The following is an 18,580-nucleotide window of genomic DNA, read 5'->3' on the forward strand; positions in this document are numbered from 1 at the left end:
ATTAACAACGGTTATTAAGTCAGCCATTTCTGTCAGATCTGGTGAAATGACGCTTGGAGCTCAGATAGATGGTGAACTGAGATGCAACAATTCACATGGAGTTAAAGCAAAGCAACCTGTGGGCGGCAGACATTCAACCAGGAGCTGGCGAGGGCAGATGATGCCTGCCTTCCCACATTCCAATGGCTTTCCCTCCCGTGCCCAGGAAGGGCTGAGGACTGTCGCTGTGGCACCTCTTGGCAATGCTCGGATGTGGTGACTGCTTCCAGTTACTCAGTTTGCCGCACACGTGTAGAACCATTATTTCATTTCCATTTGATTTTTTTAACGTCCCTGAGAATCTACATGGTAGATTTCACAAAAAGAAACGCCAAAGAGAATGATCACAATCACTGAACGACTTGTTCTAGTCATAACCATACATTAAAGCAAATGCACACTCAGAGTCAGAAACAGTCAACACATCTGAGGAAACCGCAGAACCCCTCCTGGGACAAACACGCTATTTGTATGACAGTAAGTTTGATAGTCATTCATCAGACAATCAACTCCTTGAGGGGAGAGTCTGAGGCTCACGTCTTTAATTCCTGCAATAATCCTGCACATAATGCATACTCAATAAACATGTGGTGAACGGGACTGATTTAAGTAGACTGAATCAAAGAGAAATAAAGATCCCAGAGTAAACACAACTTTGTTCTGTAATTGTTTCTTCTACAAGTAGTAAAAATTTCTTAATCACAAAATGTCATCCAACAAAGTGAACAGACACAGTGAAGTTGTGCCCTTCCTCTCCCCTTTACTGAGGGCATTACTGTAGGGCAGCTGGGTTATAAAGCAGGACTGAGATGATGACAAACGGAAAGTAACTCACACAAAAACAGACCTTCCTGGGCGAGGTGCCTCGGCTGGAGCTCCAGATTTTCCCACCTCAGGACTCATCCCCCAACCTCTTAAGTGAATTGCTTTCGGGTGTCTACTGAACAGAACCTTCAGTAGAGAAGCCTTCTCCAAGGCCCTCAAATGCACACCAGACAAGTGTCATCAATCACGGTATCCTTGCCCTGTCCTTCATAGTACACATCACAGTCTATCTCACACATGTGGGGGAATGACTGTTTATTTGTTTACCTTGCCCACTAGACTGAGAACTCCACAGGGGGAAGGCACAGGCCATATTTCTCCCTGCCATCAGCCCCCAGCACACTGTCCAGCACACAGCAGGCTCTCAACAGACAACTGATAAATGAATCTTGCACGTGGACTCCTTACAACTCTATTCAGCACAACAGAGTCTGAAGCTGGGGCTTAGGAATCACAGGGACCTAGATGCTCAAGTTCTCACAGTGCCCTCATCTTGGACAAGTTACTTTAACCTCTCTAAGCTTTGGCATCCTTATCTGTGAAATAAGGTAGCATCACTATCCTCTTCACATAATCATTATGAGAAGTAAAGGAGTGAACACAGCACATAAAGCACTTAACACAAAATAGGCAAATAATGGTATTAGCTGTTCCTTTTATGTGTACAAACATTGTCTTTTTCTGCACAAAAAGGTTAGGAACTTCTGTTTGTGTCTACAGAAATACAAAGCCTCAAAAAGTTAATTGCAGTCATGAAAACACCTCGAAGCATGAGCTTTAAAAGCAGGGATGTTCTTTCAGGTTTCTGGTTCATTTTACTACATCAATGCATTTCAGTTAGTAAGCACAGTTCTTTTCATTATTTTTCTAAGAAGGCCAACGAGAGAGTGGACAGACTGTTCATATTTGGCATGATCCTGAAATGACCTAGTCAGGAAGTGAGCTGGAGTAAATGGATCTGGCTTCTAGAACAGGGACTATGCTGGAGAGCTTTCGTTTGTCCCTCTGCCATCCCGCACTGTGCCCCAGGAGGCTGGCCTACACACAGATTACATCAACAAGCCTTTTTCCTCTCTGGCTTCCAGCTGTGTTCTGACCAATACTAGGCACTGGCCGGAGACTCAGAGGGCAGGAGAAGCACGAGGCCAAGGGTCCTTGTCCTTGAGGGCTAGCTGTGACAACTCAGTAACAGCAAAACACCAATTTCTCCAATCCTACAGCAGGAAAGGTCTGGTTCATTCCACTATTCAGCAGAGGCACCAGCAGCAGAGGATAACAGGGACATGGACTGGGGGGAAGCAGAAGTCACCCATGACCAATGACATCACAGACCTTGTTCCTGGCGGCAGGGGGGCAGCAGCAGCTATGTTTCATGTTCACTGTTTCTCCACCCCCTGCCCCACTACCTTATGTAAAGAGCATTGGGTGGGAAATGACCAGAGCCTTCACCCTCTCCAGACCCACCCTCTCCACAGTGGTCTGTGCCCCAAAAAGCTGACCCACGTGGACTGCATCCATGGGCTCCTTTGCCCTCTGGCTGAGTTTGGCCAAAGGGAGATGTGGAAGGTGGAAAAGCAGTGAGGTCAGGGTATTTATCCTGCCTACAAATTCCCCAGGAACTGGCTACAACCCTCATCATAGCTCTGTCAGGATCCCTCTCCACGCAGCTCTCTCTCTCACTCTGGGCTGCAGTAAGTATGCCCTCCTCTTACCCCTGGGGGAAGGATAGTAACAGCTCCGCCCATGGGCACTAGCCCAGGTACTGCCCTAGTCCCTTATGGGTTCCTTATACCCTGCCCACACCTTTGGAAACAGTCCCTTTATTAAAGTCTCCTCAATCTGGAAATCGTTCCCTTAGACAATTTCTTCTCAGAACAAAAAGTTCTTCCTAAATAAAACACATGACATTAAAACCAACCCTGCTAGAGTAAGAAACATGGTAAATTGAAGAATATTTAAACCAACTGAAGGTAACAGTGATATAAGTATTCTAGATTAGTAATGAAACAAAATTTACATGCGCTCTGCTTAACTGAACAACATTCATTTAATAATTTTCCCCTGGAGTATTTTAACTGTGGATGCGGCTAGTTTAGAAATTCAAGACATCCAAACAGGATAATGGAAGGATCTGCCTCCCTGAGAAACAGGTACCCCAGTCTGGTTTTCTGCTGCCTCTCTTATTTCCCCTTCCTTCCTAAAGTGCCCTGGCACCTCCAAACTGTAGCCACAAAGTAGTCCTTCTCAGGCCACTGCAAAGTTTGCTTTTTCCTTTAAGTTTACTGTCAAGTTCATATTTGCAGGTGTGAATTTGCACAGACTAACAGTTTCCAAAATGTCATACACATAAAAGTGGTTTTAGGTGATATATGGATGAACATTTTTCATTTCAATATCTGTAGGTATAGAACAATATACAACTAGTAAATAAAACCTGTGATTTCATAGATAGCATTGCTCAGTCATGGTACCACAGAGGCTAGGCTTTAAAAAATTATACAAATATTATACAAATTATAATTAAAATTACATTATTTAAGAATATTAAAAATACTATACAAATAATAGAACAGCTGGCCAAAGGTTATGGCAAAAATTCTACAGTTGGTTTGCAAATGACTGAGTTTAGAAACACTATCTTACAGTAAGGCAGGTAATTAAACAGCTTCGTTCCAAAAGGGTTTTGCCTTGTTCGTAAATTGTGGGGTTTTTTTTCCCCCACTCTAAATAAATCTTCACTTTTATATCTTTTTTTTTTTTTTTTGAGATGGAGTCTCTGTCTGTCACCCAGGCTGGAGTGCCAGTGGCATGATCTTGGCTCACTGCAACCTCTGCCTCCCGGGTTCAAGTGATTCTTGTGCCTCAGCCTCCTGGGTAGTTAGGATTACAGGCCCCTACCACCACACCCGGTTAATTTTTGACAGGGTTTCGCCATGTTGGCCAGGCTGGTCTCAAACTCCTGACCTCAGATGATCCGCCCGCCTCAGTCTCCCAAAGTGCTGGGTTTACAGGCATGAGCCACCATGCCCAGCCTTTTTATCTTTTTAAAAAAGTTTTCATGCATATATTTGCATATATTGAAGAAGGAGAAATGGACAAGCACCCTAGGAGTGGCCAGGGTGTTTAGGTAAGCAGCACCACTAAGCAAGGGCTGCCAGTGATCAATCAGCTGGGAGCTGACCACACTGGGATGCATGTCTGGGAATGTGTGATGTGAGCACAGGAGGAGGGCCTCCTTGATAGAAAATGTCTTTCCCACAGCCAGCAGCATGCACGCTCAGTGGCTCCAAAATCCCTTTTGCCCTTTTCAAAGGAGTTAAAAACCACACCAGAACATACTTCTCTCAGTGGAGCCAAATCTAGGAGTCTACCTGAGACAGGTGGATTGATGCTTGCAATGCCCTGAACAAACTTTTAGAGGGTGCCCTCTACAGGTTTAAGGTGGCCTCAACAAACCATTAACTAGCCTCAGCTGTGATCTCCTGAAGCTGAGAAGTCTTGTGGCAGTCTTTCAAGTTCTGGCAGAAACTCTTTTATATTGTATATCAGAGGAGAAAGAAAGTGAATCAATTTGACCCCTCTGCTCATCAATGCTACCACTGACCCTCTGAGCCCTACTACCTATTTCTCTCCCATAGCATGCCACCCCAAAGAAACTCCTCTGCCCAGAGAAAGGGGACAACTTCAGGGGTGAACGAAACCCATTATTTATAAGCAAGGAAGGTCATAAGAATTATTATTATTTTTTTAAAAGCTTAGAAGGATGAGCTCATCCAGAAGACATAACAATCCTAAATGTGTATGCTCCTAAAAAATAGTCAATACCACGCCTCTCTCAGTAATTGACAGAACAAGTAGACAGAAAGTCAGTAAGAATACAGAAGACTTGAACAGGGTTAACCCAATGACATATATATTCTATATCCCAAAACAGTAGAAGGTACATCCTTTCCAAGTGCACCTGGAACACTCACCAAGACAGACCATAAGCCGGGTCTCGAAACATGCAGAATATGTTCTCTGACCACAACTGAAGTGAAAAATAAATAACAAAAATATAACATAAAGAGCCCCCATATATTCAGAAATTAAACACACTTTTAAACAACTCACGGGTCAAAGAAGAAATCACAAGAGAAATTAGAAAATACCTTGGGCTGAATGATAAAAATATATTAAAACGTGTGGGATGCAGCTAAAACCATGCTCAGAGGGAAATTTATAGTTTTTAAAAGCCTATATAAGAAAAGAAAAAAGACTTGAAGATCAAATATCTAAGCTTCCATTAAAAAAAGAAAAAGAAGAGAAAATTAAATCCAAGGTAAGTACAAGGAGGCAATAATGTGTGTAAATCAATGAAATAGAAGACAGATACAGAAAAATCACCAAAACCAAGAGCAGGTTATGGAAATAAAAATCAACAAAACTGAGAAGTCGCTAGTTAGACTGATCAAGAGCAAAAAGAGGGAAGATAATTTATCAATATCAGGAATGAATGATGAGACATCGCTCAGATTCTAGAGGCATTAGAAGAGAATACTATGAACCAATCTCTTCGACAGCTAGACGAAGTGGATGTCTTTGAAAGATGTAAGTTATATAACTGACATGAGAAGAAATAAACATCTAAAAAGCTTTACATCTATTTTGCTAAAAGTGAATTTGTTATTAAAAATCTTCCCATGAAGAAAACTCCAGACCCACACAGATCCCTCAGTTAAATCTATCAACTATCTAGGGAAGAAATAGTATCAATCATATGGAAATTCAGAAAACAGAGAAAAAATATTTCTCAACTCATTTAATGGATCAAGCATTATCCTGATACTGAAACTAGAGAAAGACACTACAAAAGAAAAAGAAAGTTATAGACAATACTCTTCCATGAACAAAGATACAAAATTCCTTAATAAAATATTAGCAAATAGAATCCAGCAATATATAAAAAAGATAATATATCATGATCAAGTGTATTCCAGAAATGCAAAATTGGACTAACATTCAAAAATCAACCCATGCTGTGTTCTAGCCATACCATGAAATATTACTCTGACACCTGCTAAAGGTATGAACCTTGGGGAAATTACGCTAAGTCAGAAAAAAATAAATACTGTCTGATTCCACTTTTAGGATATACTTACAGAGGTCAAATCCATAGAGACAGAAAGTAGAATGGTGGCTGCCAGGAGATGGTGGAGTGGGAATTGGAAGTTACAGTTAGTGGGCACAGTTTTAGTTTTGCAAGATGAAGAGTTCTGAAGATGAATGGCGGTGATGGCTGCACAAAAATGTAAATGCACTTCGGGAGGCCGAGGCGGGCAGATCACCTGAGGTCAGGAGTCTGAGACCAGCCTGGCCAACATGGCGAAACCCCATCTCTACTAAAAATACAAATATTAGCCAAGCATGATGGCAGGCGCCTGTAATTCCAGCTACTCAGGAGGCTGAGGCACAAGAATTGCTTGAACCCAGAAGGCAGCAGTTGCAGTGAGCCGAGATCACGCCACTGCACTCCAGCTGGGTGACAGAGTGAGACTCCGCCTCAAAAAAAAAAAAAAAAAGTGAATGTACTTAATGCCACTGAATTGTAACATTTAAAAGTGGTTAAATTATCTGTTATGTGTACTTAATAAGAATTTTTTAAAAATCAATCCATGCCATGTAACTTACCATATTAAAATAAAGGAAAATCATTTGATCACCTCAATAAATGCAGAAAAAACGTTTGACAAAATTCAACACCCAATTGATGATTAAAAAAAAAAAAACACATACACACTTTCAGCAGAGTAGGACTAGAAGAGGGCAAAAGATCTGAACAGATACTTACTTTGTAACAAGGACATGCCAATCTTCAGGCCAGTAAGCACCTAAAAGGAGGCTCAACATCAATAATCAAAGGAAAATGCAAAATGTACTTGGCCTGCACTAGAATGGCTAAAATAACAAGAACTGGCAATATGAAATGTCGGTGAGGATGCAGAGCAAGGAGACGTCGCATTCGCTGCCGGTAGGAGTACAAAGTGGCAGAACAACTTTGGAAAGCTGTTTAGCAGTTTCTTATAGAGGTAAATATACACATACAACATAAGATTCAAGAATTCCACTCCTAGATATTTGCCCAAGAAAAGTAAAATGTTATATCTACACAAACACTTGTACACAAATGCTCATAGCAGTTTTATTCTTTTATTCTTTTTTTTTTTTGGAGACAGGGTGTTGCTCAGGCTGGAGTGTGCGGTGATGTGATCATAGCTCACTGTAGCTGCAATCTCCCGGGCACAAGCAATCCCTCCGCCTCAGCCTCCTGAGTAGCTGGGACTACAGGTGTGTGCCACCATGTCCAACTAATTTTTTTTATTTTTAGTAGAGGTAAGGTCTCTCTATGTTGCCCAGGCTGATCTTGAACACTTGAGCTCAAGCGAGCCTCCCCCTTTGGCCTCCCAAAGCATTGGGATTACAATGTAGCATGAGCTACAGACCATGTGCCTGGTCCAGTTTTATTTTTATTACCCCCAAAACTAAAACAACCCACATGTCTGTAAACAGGTGAACAGATTAAACACATTGTGGTATATCCATACAATGAAATACTACTCCATAATAAAAAGAATATACAATGCCTGAACAACTTGAATGAATCTTGAGAACCTATGCTGAGCAAAAGCAGCTGGGACACAAAACATGCTTCCATGCACCATATATGAACTCTCAAAAGACACATCTGGCTGGGCTTAATGGTTCACGTCTGTAATCCTAGCACTTTAGGAGGTCAAGGTGGGAGGATTGCTTGAGCCCAGGAATTCAAGACGACCCTGTCTCTATTTAAAAAAAAAAAAAAAGAAAGAAAAAAAAGACACATTTAATCTAGAGTGACAGAGAGGAGACCAGAGTCTGCCTGGAGTGCAGACTGGGAGGGGGCAGATGACTGGGGTGGAGCATGAAGAAATTTCTGGGGTGATTATCCTATCTTATTTGGGGTGATATTTACATAGATGCATATATTTGTCAAAACTCATTGAACTGTACATTCATAAACATAAAATACATAAAACTGGTATATTTTATTTTATGTAAGTTATACTTCAAGTTGATTTTTTAAAACATGCTCGGAACATGCATTGAATTCTCAGCACTAATCTCAAATATTAATAGGATGAGAGTCAAATTCAGTGGGGTTTTTTTTTTTTTTGAGATGGAGTCTTGCTCTGTTGCCCAGGCTGGAGTGCAATGGCGCGATCTCAGCTCACTGCACACCTCCGCCTCCCGAGTTCTAGCGATTCTCCTGCCTCAGCCTCTTGAGTAGCTGGGATTACAGGCGTGCGCCACCGTGCCTGGCTAATTTTTTTGTATTTTTAGTAGAGACAAGGTTTCACTATGTTGGTCAGGCTGGTCTCGAACTCCTGACTTCGTGATCCACCTGCCTCAGCCTCCCAAAATGTTGGGATTACAGGCGTGAGCCACTGCACCCGGCCAAATTAAGTGGTTTTTAATAAGTCTTGGTTAGACAAGGCAAGAGACAGGATCTCCTAGGGACTCAGGTGATGAGAACTCAGGTTGCTTTGCTCTGCAGGCTGTGTCAGTGCTAGGGAGGCCATCAGCTCCCACCGTGGTGCCAAACCAGATGAGGTTCAGCAGCTGCTGTATCACCTGTGCCTGTTGAAACTACAGTCCTGAAAGACTCAGGCACCAAGCTTGGTTTTATAATCATTGCTGCATTCCCATCTGAGCCTGTGACCGGTCTTTACAGCTACGACCTGGGTGAAAATGGACGTGAACGTGTTCAGAGATAGCTGGAGAGGAGACGCAGACTCCACGTGCTGAGCAGAATTTCAGCAGGACAACCTCATCCTGTGAAGCCCTTTGGCTCTTTATTTGCCTGTCTGGACTATTAAGAGTTTCACATGTGTTTGAATAGAGAAAACATTTTTGACATATTTAAACCTGTACATTACTACTGAAGTAAGATATTTCCCTCAAAACAATTTTTGGATAGAAAATTCTTTTCATGTTGAATGGGAACAATTAATAAAACAGGAAGACAGTGCTGTAGTTTAGATCATGAAATCAGGCGTCCAACTGCCTTGGTCCAATTCCCAGCTCTATGAAGTAGGTGAGTTACTGGGCTTCAACTCTCATTTTGAAGTGAGGACAATAACAGTATCTTCTTTCATAAGGTGGCTGTGAAGACTAAATGCGTAAGGCATGGAAGGAGCCTGGCACATTTCCTGTACAACACACATGTATACCCGCACTAAGTGGTCAGTTATATGATGAAGATAACTCAGTACATTGAACTCTGACCCAGAATCCAAGTAACTGGGTCTTTTGCCACAGTTTTCTCCACCACCTCACCTTAACCCAAAGCATATAGGGCAGTGTAATCAGCTGAAAAAATCCTGGCGCCGCTCTGGAAAAGTCTAGATTCCATCCTGGCCCTCCTCCTTGTACAGAGGGCCACAGCGGGCAAATCACCCAGCCCTCTGGCTTCGGTTTCCTCTTCTTTAGACAAGGTAATCTCTAAGGGTCCTTCCAGCTCTAGTCAGTTCGATACACATTTCCTAAAGCTTACTACATGCACAAAGAAGCAATTATACAGTTATAAAGACTGTCCATCTTTGAATGGTACATACGGTAATTATTCCAGAAAACTCAAATTAATCAGAATACCCTATTTCTTAACCTCTGGGAATAACTGGAATCTATTATGCTTGATAGATTTCAGTGAAATCTATCAGTATATAACAGCAGAACAATTCCAAGTACCATTCTGGCATAAAATACGTGTTCTTTGCCACTATCTAGGGGGGCCCATTACTAGAAATTTCTGAAGAAACTTGTAACTAGAAGGAACTATTGCAACTAAGCCTGAGGACTAAAGATGAGTATTTTAACAAGAACCCCAGGAAACAAATTTTGTAATCAAGGAAATTTACAGGAACACTACAGTTCACAAATGAATATTTGCTGTAGCTGAGTAGGCTGCCCTAATGTGGCTGTGTAGGATGCTCAGAGGGCATGTGTAATTAAAGGGCACATACCTCATCTGTCTTTCACTTGAGGATCTCAGAATAGAACAGATAAAAACAATTATTTACTTAAATGTCAACGGCTTTAGAAATAGAAGCCAGGAATATAAGCATGCAGGTCTTCGAATTCTTAAATTTCAGACACCCACTCTTGTAAACAGGAGATCTGTTACAATTAACAGATGCAGCTGTAACTCAGATTCAGTTGTGTCGTATCAATCACTCCGTTTAATGCTCCAAATATCACCATATGCACCTACCCCATGAAGGCTGTAGCTTGACGCTCTGACTTGTGAAGTGGGGTGTGTGTGTGCGCTCGTGCACACAAGAAATATTTGAGTGGGTACAGTTCAAGAGCTAGGGACGTGGCTCATAATGATCCAGCAAAGAGTCTCTCTCACTCAGATCTCACCTTTGTCTTGACAGAGACTGTAGTGAATCACACTGTGAATGAGTCAACAATGCAACAGCGTTAAAGTCAACTGCTTAGAATTGTGTTAATATAAAGGATTACATGTAAAATGGGAGATAATCATTCCATTTTGGTAAAAACACGTGTAGTACCAACATGAATAATAATGAGGGATGACAAATTGGAGCGTATGTACAGAAGATGAATACAGCCAGTAATCCCTTTGAACACAGGTATACAAAGCCTTAACAACAAGGGGAGAGTGTCTACCACAAAATAAGAGATGAGATGACACAGCTACTCCTAAAACATGCAAATGGAAGTTGCTGAGTGAAGACAGATCAATTATCCTCAGTCGATGAGAATAATAAGACAGAGTGACAGCAGGAAACACTGAGGTTAAATATTAGGCAAAACGTAACAATGGGAAGAATGCTAGCAGAGGAGAGGCTGCCAGGAGAGTCGAAGAAATGACCGCCTGTAGAGGCATGCAGGGTTAAAGCTGGACACCTGCCTCATTATGAGTGGAATTATTCCTGCCACAGCTCAGGGAAACTGGAGAAGAGTGTCATTAGAGAGGTCTCTGCTGATCTAAATGGGTACGAAAACAAGGAGGCTGAGCTCTTGCTTATCAACATTTTTAACCCTCCAAAGTAAGTGAGGGTTTTGCCCACTGGGCAACAGTCTTGACACTGAAACCCATCACATGCCCGTAAAAATGGCCCGCACGTGGCATATGTCGCAGCAGGCAAGAAGGCAACACAATGGCTGCTTGTTTCAGAGACAGAAGCTTGAAGCTGTCTGGGCGGCGGCTCTGGGTAATCACATCCCAAACACAGAACAGGATTTTTTCCCTGCCTGAAATGCTCTCTGATATTTTTCAGCCTTAATTCAAAGGTTTCTTTCTTTGTTGAGTTCAGAACAGTATAGCATGTTTTCTGTTGTTAAACAACGTAAAGCATTTACACTTGATTAGCTGTAGTATGAGTATCAGCAGGACTTGGAAACTTTTCATCATCTTCATGAAGGTTCTGAGGGTCCGCTGACAGCCCTGGGAAATAGTGTTTTTCCAGATTTCCACTGTAAATAATGGCTGACCATTGGCCTCTGTGTTTCAAGGCCTGATGAAGGCAGCAGGGCACAGGACAGAACCGCTGCTTTCGTGAACTAGCGAAGGAGCCTCATGCTGGGGAGGCGCTGCTTTCTACAGTCCCTTCCCACTTAGGGTAGCACAGCCTGGCCATATCCACAGGGGCCCTAAACACTCTACAGCTAAAAAGCCTTCTTCTGCTCTCTCTCTCTCTGAAAGATGACAATATGTGCTGTGCACCCTTAGCGCTATTTTCTCCATGAAGTGAAAGGCACTTCAGTGAATCAATCCATGTTTGGAAATATATTCCAAAAGTTGATAGATTTAAGAATTATAATGATAATCTCCAAAGGAATCATATAATCCTGGAGACAGAAGACAACTGAGAGGATAGCTAGTCTAAATTTGTTACTCGATGGACAGGCTAGCTGACTGGTTTAAAGACTTCTATCTAGTGGTAGGCAAAGCTGGGACTGGAACTCAGATCCTTCTGAATGTTTTCTTTCCCCCATACACTAGTCTGAGATAGAGACATTTAAAATGTGGCTACTGATAAGCATTGTGAACCAATAAACTCTTCCAAAAGGCAGATTTAAGATACTCTTACAGCCACATGGAGAAAAGTTTCCACTGTTATTTATGTATTTATTTTTGAGACGGGGTCTGACTCTGTCACCCAGGCTGGACTGCAGAGGCACAATCACAACTCACTGCAACCTCCGCCTTCCAGGCTCAAGTCATCCTCCCACTTCAGCCTCCTGAGTAGCTGGCATTACAGGCATGTGCCACCACACCCAGCTAATTTTTGTATTTTTTTGGTAGAGACAGGGTTTCACCATGTTGTCCAGGTTGCTCTTGAATTCCTGGGCTCAAGTGATCCACCCACCTCAGCCTCCCAAAATGCTGGGACTACAGGTGTGAGCCATTGTGCCTGGCGTGTGATTTTTTTTTTTTTGTGATAGGAGTATTATATTCTGATCCACTCTTACTTTTCCAGCAATAAATTCTGGTCATAGTTTACATGTAATCGAAATTATCCCACTAGGTTTTGAGAAAGCTTGATCTATTTTCAAACACAGATTCAAGAAATCATGAGTTTGTGTTTAAAGTGGATGCTTGGACATACTCAACTCCATCCCGGCTGGGTGCTATTTTATGCTCAATTAGTATCTGTTTTGGTATTTTCTTTAAATCTTTTGGAATAAAACAGTAATCCTGTTAAATAAATTTTTGTAAATATTCTTGGCATTCTTTCCTTTAGTGAAGAGGAAAGCTGGATGAAGTTCATAGTAAGATGGTTTCATTTTATCTGAATTTTAAGTAACTGGCTAATGATTTTCATTCCACAGATGTGGACGACATTTCAGCATTGATTCAAATACACTTGATTCATCTATTTTGGTTTGCAAGAAAGTTTCTAATATAAAAATAAAACTTTAAAAAGCCGAACATAAATTTCTAAACCTGTGCTGCAATGGCCAGTAAAATATTAAAGCATAATGTTCAGCTAAACTATTTCCAAGCCATACATCATTTTCTGTTTGGGTCCTACCCAACTGTTTCAAAGTTCATTTTTACAGTGTTCAGGGATAATAGCAACCGTATCATTCACAGGAGCCATGGCCAGTCAATTTCTACAGAGAGGAAATGGAATTGTTCCAAACAGATTAAGTTTTAGCGTAGAGAACAAAGACCCCCTGAGGTTAGCATTTCTGAAACAAAATGGCCAGAAATTAAGTTTAGATAATTTCAAGGGATATATTTCAAGTGTGACTAGCTTAAAGTGGCAGGCCCCCTAACTTAAACATGAAAATTTTTAAAGCCCCCAGAAGCAGCAAGCAGAAGAAGATGGGAACAAGGGAGACACCTATATCATGGCAAAAGTATTTATGACACTAACAGCTGTAAGGAGCCAGGCTCAGTGCCCCAGCCTCCCCTCATTTGTCCACCACTGCTGGAGAATGTGCCCTTTCTCATTAGCAAAGGTTTCAGATCCTTCATGCCTATCTCTTCGAATGCCTACGCTTAATTTTTTCTATTTTTATGAGTATCTTTTTAAAACAAAGATATACTTACATTTATTCCTAACGAGAAAACAACTTAACTTTTGTGAATGTTATGAGCATCGGCTCCTGTGCTTTATATTTATAGTTCTGTCCATCTCCTCTCTTGTTATATAAGCATTGGCTCCTAGCTGTTGTTAGTATGTGCGCTGCATGTTTCCAAATTCGTTACCCTGACAACCCGGAGAAAATGGGCTTTGTGAGAGGGTCTTTGACAGTATGGGAAACCCATAACAGCACTTTCGGTTAGGCCTCCTCTCCATACTTCTTGGTTCTTGACTGCGTTCCAATTTATTACGGGGGTTAAAAAATGAATAGTGAATAAGTGAGTGTGCCCTTCTATGATGTTGACTACCCACCCAGAGTAAGTACTGATCTGATTGTGAGGAGAGTGGAGAAGGTGGTATAGAAGCTGAAAGGGTTAAAAATATGGGCTCCAGTGAACCTGGGGAAGTAATTAATCACTCTGAGCATCAGTTTCCTCATTCATAAAATGAAGATTGTAGTTGCACCTAGTTCAGAAGGTTGTTAGGATTAAATAAGGTAATCAGTGTTAAGTGCTTAGAACAGTGTCTGACAGAGTAATCACTCAATAAATAACAGCTGCCAGCAGTGATGGTGGTGGTTGATAGCGATTGTGGTGGTGCTGGTGCTGGTGGTGGAGGTGATGGTGGTGGTGGTGGAGGTGATGGTAGAGGTGATGGTAGTAGTGATGGTGATGGTGGTGGTGATGCTGGAGGTGATAGTGATGGTGGTGGTGGTGGTAGTGTTGGTATTATGCCTGTGAAGTAATATTCAGGCTCCTTTGTGCCTTCAGTAACTCCTTCACTGCCAAGATGGTCAATGAAAATTTCAGCCACTAAGACAAATCACTCTAGCCAAGTATCAGACAGGACCACAAATACAAAACTGGGTATTTTCAATAACATAAGAACAAGAGAAAGAAGGCGGCAAGGAGAATTTGGATTGGTGATATTGATACCTAACCCCCATCCTAAATTCTCTTACTTAAACCTTGAACCAAGGACGTGCAATTCTTATAAGACAGCGGTCTGTTTTAGAAAGTGGAAGGCATAATGTTTAAGCACAAGGGATCAAACTGGTCTGCTTTGATGAAGTCCTTTCCGATACAAGGACATATTACCCATATTTTAAGCTTTCCCATGGTACTATGCTAATGCATGTTCAACGCTACATCTAAAATCCCACAACCCTTCCAGCAATTCCATACTCAGTTCTTATTTTAAACTCATTGTATTTACATGCCTACACCTTTTCAATAAAGGCTTTTTAAAAGTGAAAGTACAATAAACTTACATACATTGTGTATGCATTATGACTTTTATTTATCTGGATTTACAGCATTTGCAGGTAGTTTCACTTAAGTCAAAAAGGTTTGGGAAGGTGAAAAAGTTCAGATCCCTTAATCTTTTCTTCTGAAAATAAATTATTCATGAAGCTCTCTCCCTCATTCCCAAATGGTTAGGTTTAAACAATTGCTTAAAGTGCTGATTTTAACTGACGAACACATTATTCATAAAGCCTACAGCCCAGGAAACACTTACTTGCTAACTGGTCATTTTCATCTGATCAATGACTTCACAGAGTTGAAACATACCACAGTGGAATGTGCTTCTAGCGCGAGGCCATGGCATTAAGTGCCTGACTCTCATGAACAAAGCAAGCTGGTTAATGGTCATTTTACGGTCCACATACTACTCTGAAATCTATTAGAGTGTGGCTTAGTCAACCTTATCAGAGATGATTTGGGGGTACTCAGCACAGTGGGAACCTTCCTGTAACAGGTTAATGGATCAATTTATTTATTTCAAATCTGTTCTTTTCAAGTTGAAAAGCCACTAAAGACTTTCCAAGAGATCAGCTCAATAACCACAAGGAGAGGCAGTGATGCTGGATCTGTTGCTCTTGGTCCTTCTCTGTCACTTATGGTTCAGAGCCACCGGCTCTCTGGTGACACCACAGCAGAGCTGAGTGAGATGAAAGTCTGGCTTTGCCTCTTAGGAGTCTACATGTCGATTAAAGTCCTGGGATACCTTATGTTGCAAGGCATCACCTCACTTTTTCTTGAACAAAAAATAAAGGATTCCACTTAACAGACCCTAGGCTGTTCCCCTTTCTTGATAAATGTTATTTCAAATTTTTGATAAAAACATGTCACTAACTTTAGACCTGTATCACCACCACCACCCGCTGGGAATTCTCTTTTTAAATTAACACTTTTTCAGAGTATTGTTTTGCAAAATATAACGCACCATTGGAAAGTAACCAAGCATCAGCAAGACAGCAGGTGACCTTCAGAGACCCGGGAGTCTTTAGTGCTCGCAACCATGCGCATCCCAGAGAGGACTTCCACCTTGCAGTATGGTCTGACGCCTAAGAATAAAGACTGCATTTTGGCCAGGGGTGGTGGCTCACACCTGTAATTCCAGCACTTTGAAAGGCTGAGGTGGGAGGATTGCTTGAGGCCAGGCATTCGAGATCAGTCTGGGAAACACAGTGAGAGCCTGTTTCTTTAAAAAAAAAAAAAAAACAAAACAAAACCAAAAGCAACTGATTTGCCAGGCATGGTGGCATGTGCCTGTAGTCCCAGCTACTCAGAAGGCTGGGACAGGAGGATCACTTGATCCCAGGAGGGCTGCAGTAAGCCATAATTGTGCCACTGCACTCCAGCCCAGGCAAAAGAGCCAGACCCTGTCACAAAAAAAAAAAAAAAAAGGAAAGGAAAGGGAAAAGGAAAAGGAAGTGTATTTCCACTAATGGTCCCTAAACTCAAGATTTCACAGACCAGGCAAGAGGAAGCTTTATTTGTGCTGAATTTCAGGTTACATGCTATATGGCTAAAAACCCAATGTTATCCCTAACATAAAAAACAACAAGTTTAAAATGTCTTTACTTAGGATCCCTTGTACTCTTCTAGTATCACTTTTAATGAAATGGTTGAAAGCAAGAGCTTTGGAGTCTGTCAGTCACTATACTGATGCTGGGTGGCATGATCTAGTGGACAAGGACCCGGACTCCCGACGCTTCAGTGCCCAAGTTCAAGTCCTTGCTCTGGCAGGACCTGAGCTAGCTATGTGACCCTAGCCAAGTCACTTAACCTCTCTGTGCTTCAGTTTCCTCCTTTACAAAAAATACCTAATAATATCAACCTCACAGGAATTCTGGAAGACTCAATGACTAAAAAAATGCAGAGTACTTGGACTCTAGCACGTAGCAAGTACTATCTGGATGCTCACCAGAGCTATGACCATCTTCACTCTTCACTAGCTGTGTGGCATTAACTTTCTTGTATCTCAGTTTCTTCATCTGATAAAGAGGAACAATACTATTTCACTCACAGCATCGCTAAATAACCATGCATGTAATGTGCTTGGCACAGGGTCTAGCATATGATATGTGCTTGATATGCAGTAGCTATCATTAATGTTCTATCAGTAATTGAATACTTTCTTACACTGTTCTTTACTCTGTACAAAAATCTTTGTGCTTGAATAAATATGCCATAAGTTTATTCAAAATATAAACTCTAGGCCATTCCAATTTGTGGGTGTTAATTCAAAATTTTCAGAAATGCATGGTACAATTTTCGGAACTGTACCTTCCCAATAAATCTCTCTTAAATGTATCCCCCATGACACCACCACTGTGAATCAACAAAAAATGCTCAATGGCTACTTGCAAATGGATAATTTTAAAATTAAACTGAAGTATAGATTTTAAAGTGATTACTTCTGCTTTCATTATCAGGTTGCACTTACGGCAGAGTCTCCAGCTCAGAAAACACTTTCCTCTCATGAATCTTTTTTTTTTTTTTTTAAGTTTTGAGATGGAGTTTCGCTCTTGTTGCCCAGGCTGGAGTGCAATGGCACGATCTCAGCTCACTGCAACCTCGGCCTCCCGGGTTCAAGCAATTCTCCTGCTTCAGCCTTCTAAGTAGCTGGGATGACAGGCATGCACCACCAAGCCCAGCTAATTTTGTATTTTTTTTTTTTTTTTAGTAGAGACGAGGTTTCTTCATGTTGGTCAGGCTGGTCTCAAACTCCCGACCTCAGGTGATCCGCCCTCCTCAGGTGATTCGGCCTCCCAAAGTGTTGGGATTACAGGCGTGAGCCACTGTGCCCAGCCTCTCATGATTTTTTTTTTTTTTTTTTGAGACGGAGTCTCGCTCTGCCGCCCAGGCTGTAGTGCAGTGGCGCATCTTGGCTCACTGCAAGCTCCGTCTCCTGGGTTCACGCCATTCTCCTGCCTCAGCCTCCTGATTAGCTGGGACTACAGGCATCCACCACCATGCCCAGCTAATTTTTTGTATTTTTTTTAGTAGAGACGGGGTTTCACCGTGTTAGCCAGGATGGTCTTGATCTCCTGACCTCATGATCCGCTCGCTTTGGCCTCCCAAAGCACTGTGATTACAGGCGTGAGCCACCACCCCCGGCCTCATGATTCTTATACTCAGGAATTAGAATGGGTCTTAAGCTAAAAGATATTTATGCTTATAAGAATGTTGAGACCAGGCACGGTGGCGCATGCCTGTAATCCCACCACTCTGGAATGCCAAGGTAGGAGGGATTGCTTGAACCCCGAGGTTCGAGACCAGTCTGGACAACATAGTAAGACTTCATCTTTACAAAAAGTACAAAAATTAGCTGGGCATGGTTTTGCATGCCTGTGGTCCCAGCTACTTGGGAGGCTGAGGTGGAAGCATCACTTGAGCCCAGGAGGTTGAGGCTGCAGTGAGCCTAGATCACACCACTGCACTCCAGCCTAGGCAAGAGAGAGACCCTGTCTCAAAAAAAAAAAAAAAAAAAAAAATCGTAGTACTACGAGGTGAAAGGGACCCAACCCTCTTCTTTTACTGACAGTAGAAACCCTGGTGCATGCAGAGATAGGCCCAAGGTTGCATCATTACTAAGGGGCAGAGATGGGACAAGAATCTTGCTTTGTTTCTGGCTCTAAGTCCATCTTTCTTCCCATTATTTTACAGGACTCCCTAATGGAAACACTTGAAAACATTGTATTTGTGAATCTAGAGCAGGAGTCTCCAACCCCTGGGCCACAGACGGGTACCAGTCTGAGCCTGTTAGGAACTGGGCCGCACAGCAGG

The 18,580-nt window shown here is 42.0% G+C and overlaps 1 protein-coding gene across 5 annotated transcripts in view, besides 2 other annotated features; it reads right to left on the reverse strand.

Annotated features, from left to right (window-relative positions):
• Positions 1 to 18,580, reverse strand: part of MED27 (mediator complex subunit 27) — a 219,756-nt gene that overhangs the window by 90,095 nt on the left and 111,081 nt on the right. The gene's annotated exons all lie outside the window — the stretch shown is intronic.
• Positions 14,869 to 15,370: an enhancer, noted in NCBI's record as "NANOG hESC enhancer chr9:134840462-134840963 (GRCh37/hg19 assembly coordinates)". NCBI's record gives its function as "activates a minimal SCP1, AML or CMV promoter by ChIP-STARR-seq in primed H9 embryonic stem cells {active_cell/tissue: H9 hESC(primed)}" and the evidence as "EXISTENCE:reporter gene assay evidence [ECO:0000049][PMID:30033119]".
• Positions 17,923 to 18,130: a silencer, noted in NCBI's record as "fragment chr9:134843516-134843723 (GRCh37/hg19 assembly coordinates)". NCBI's record gives its function as "represses an EF-1alpha promoter that drives an FKBP-Casp9 reporter gene in an ReSE screen in K562 erythroleukemia cells {active_cell/tissue: K562}" and the evidence as "EXISTENCE:reporter gene assay evidence [ECO:0000049][PMID:32094911]".

Source organism: Homo sapiens, chromosome 9, assembly GCF_000001405.40.
Source record: "Homo sapiens chromosome 9, GRCh38.p14 Primary Assembly".
NCBI lineage: Eukaryota > Metazoa > Chordata > Mammalia > Primates > Hominidae > Homo > Homo sapiens.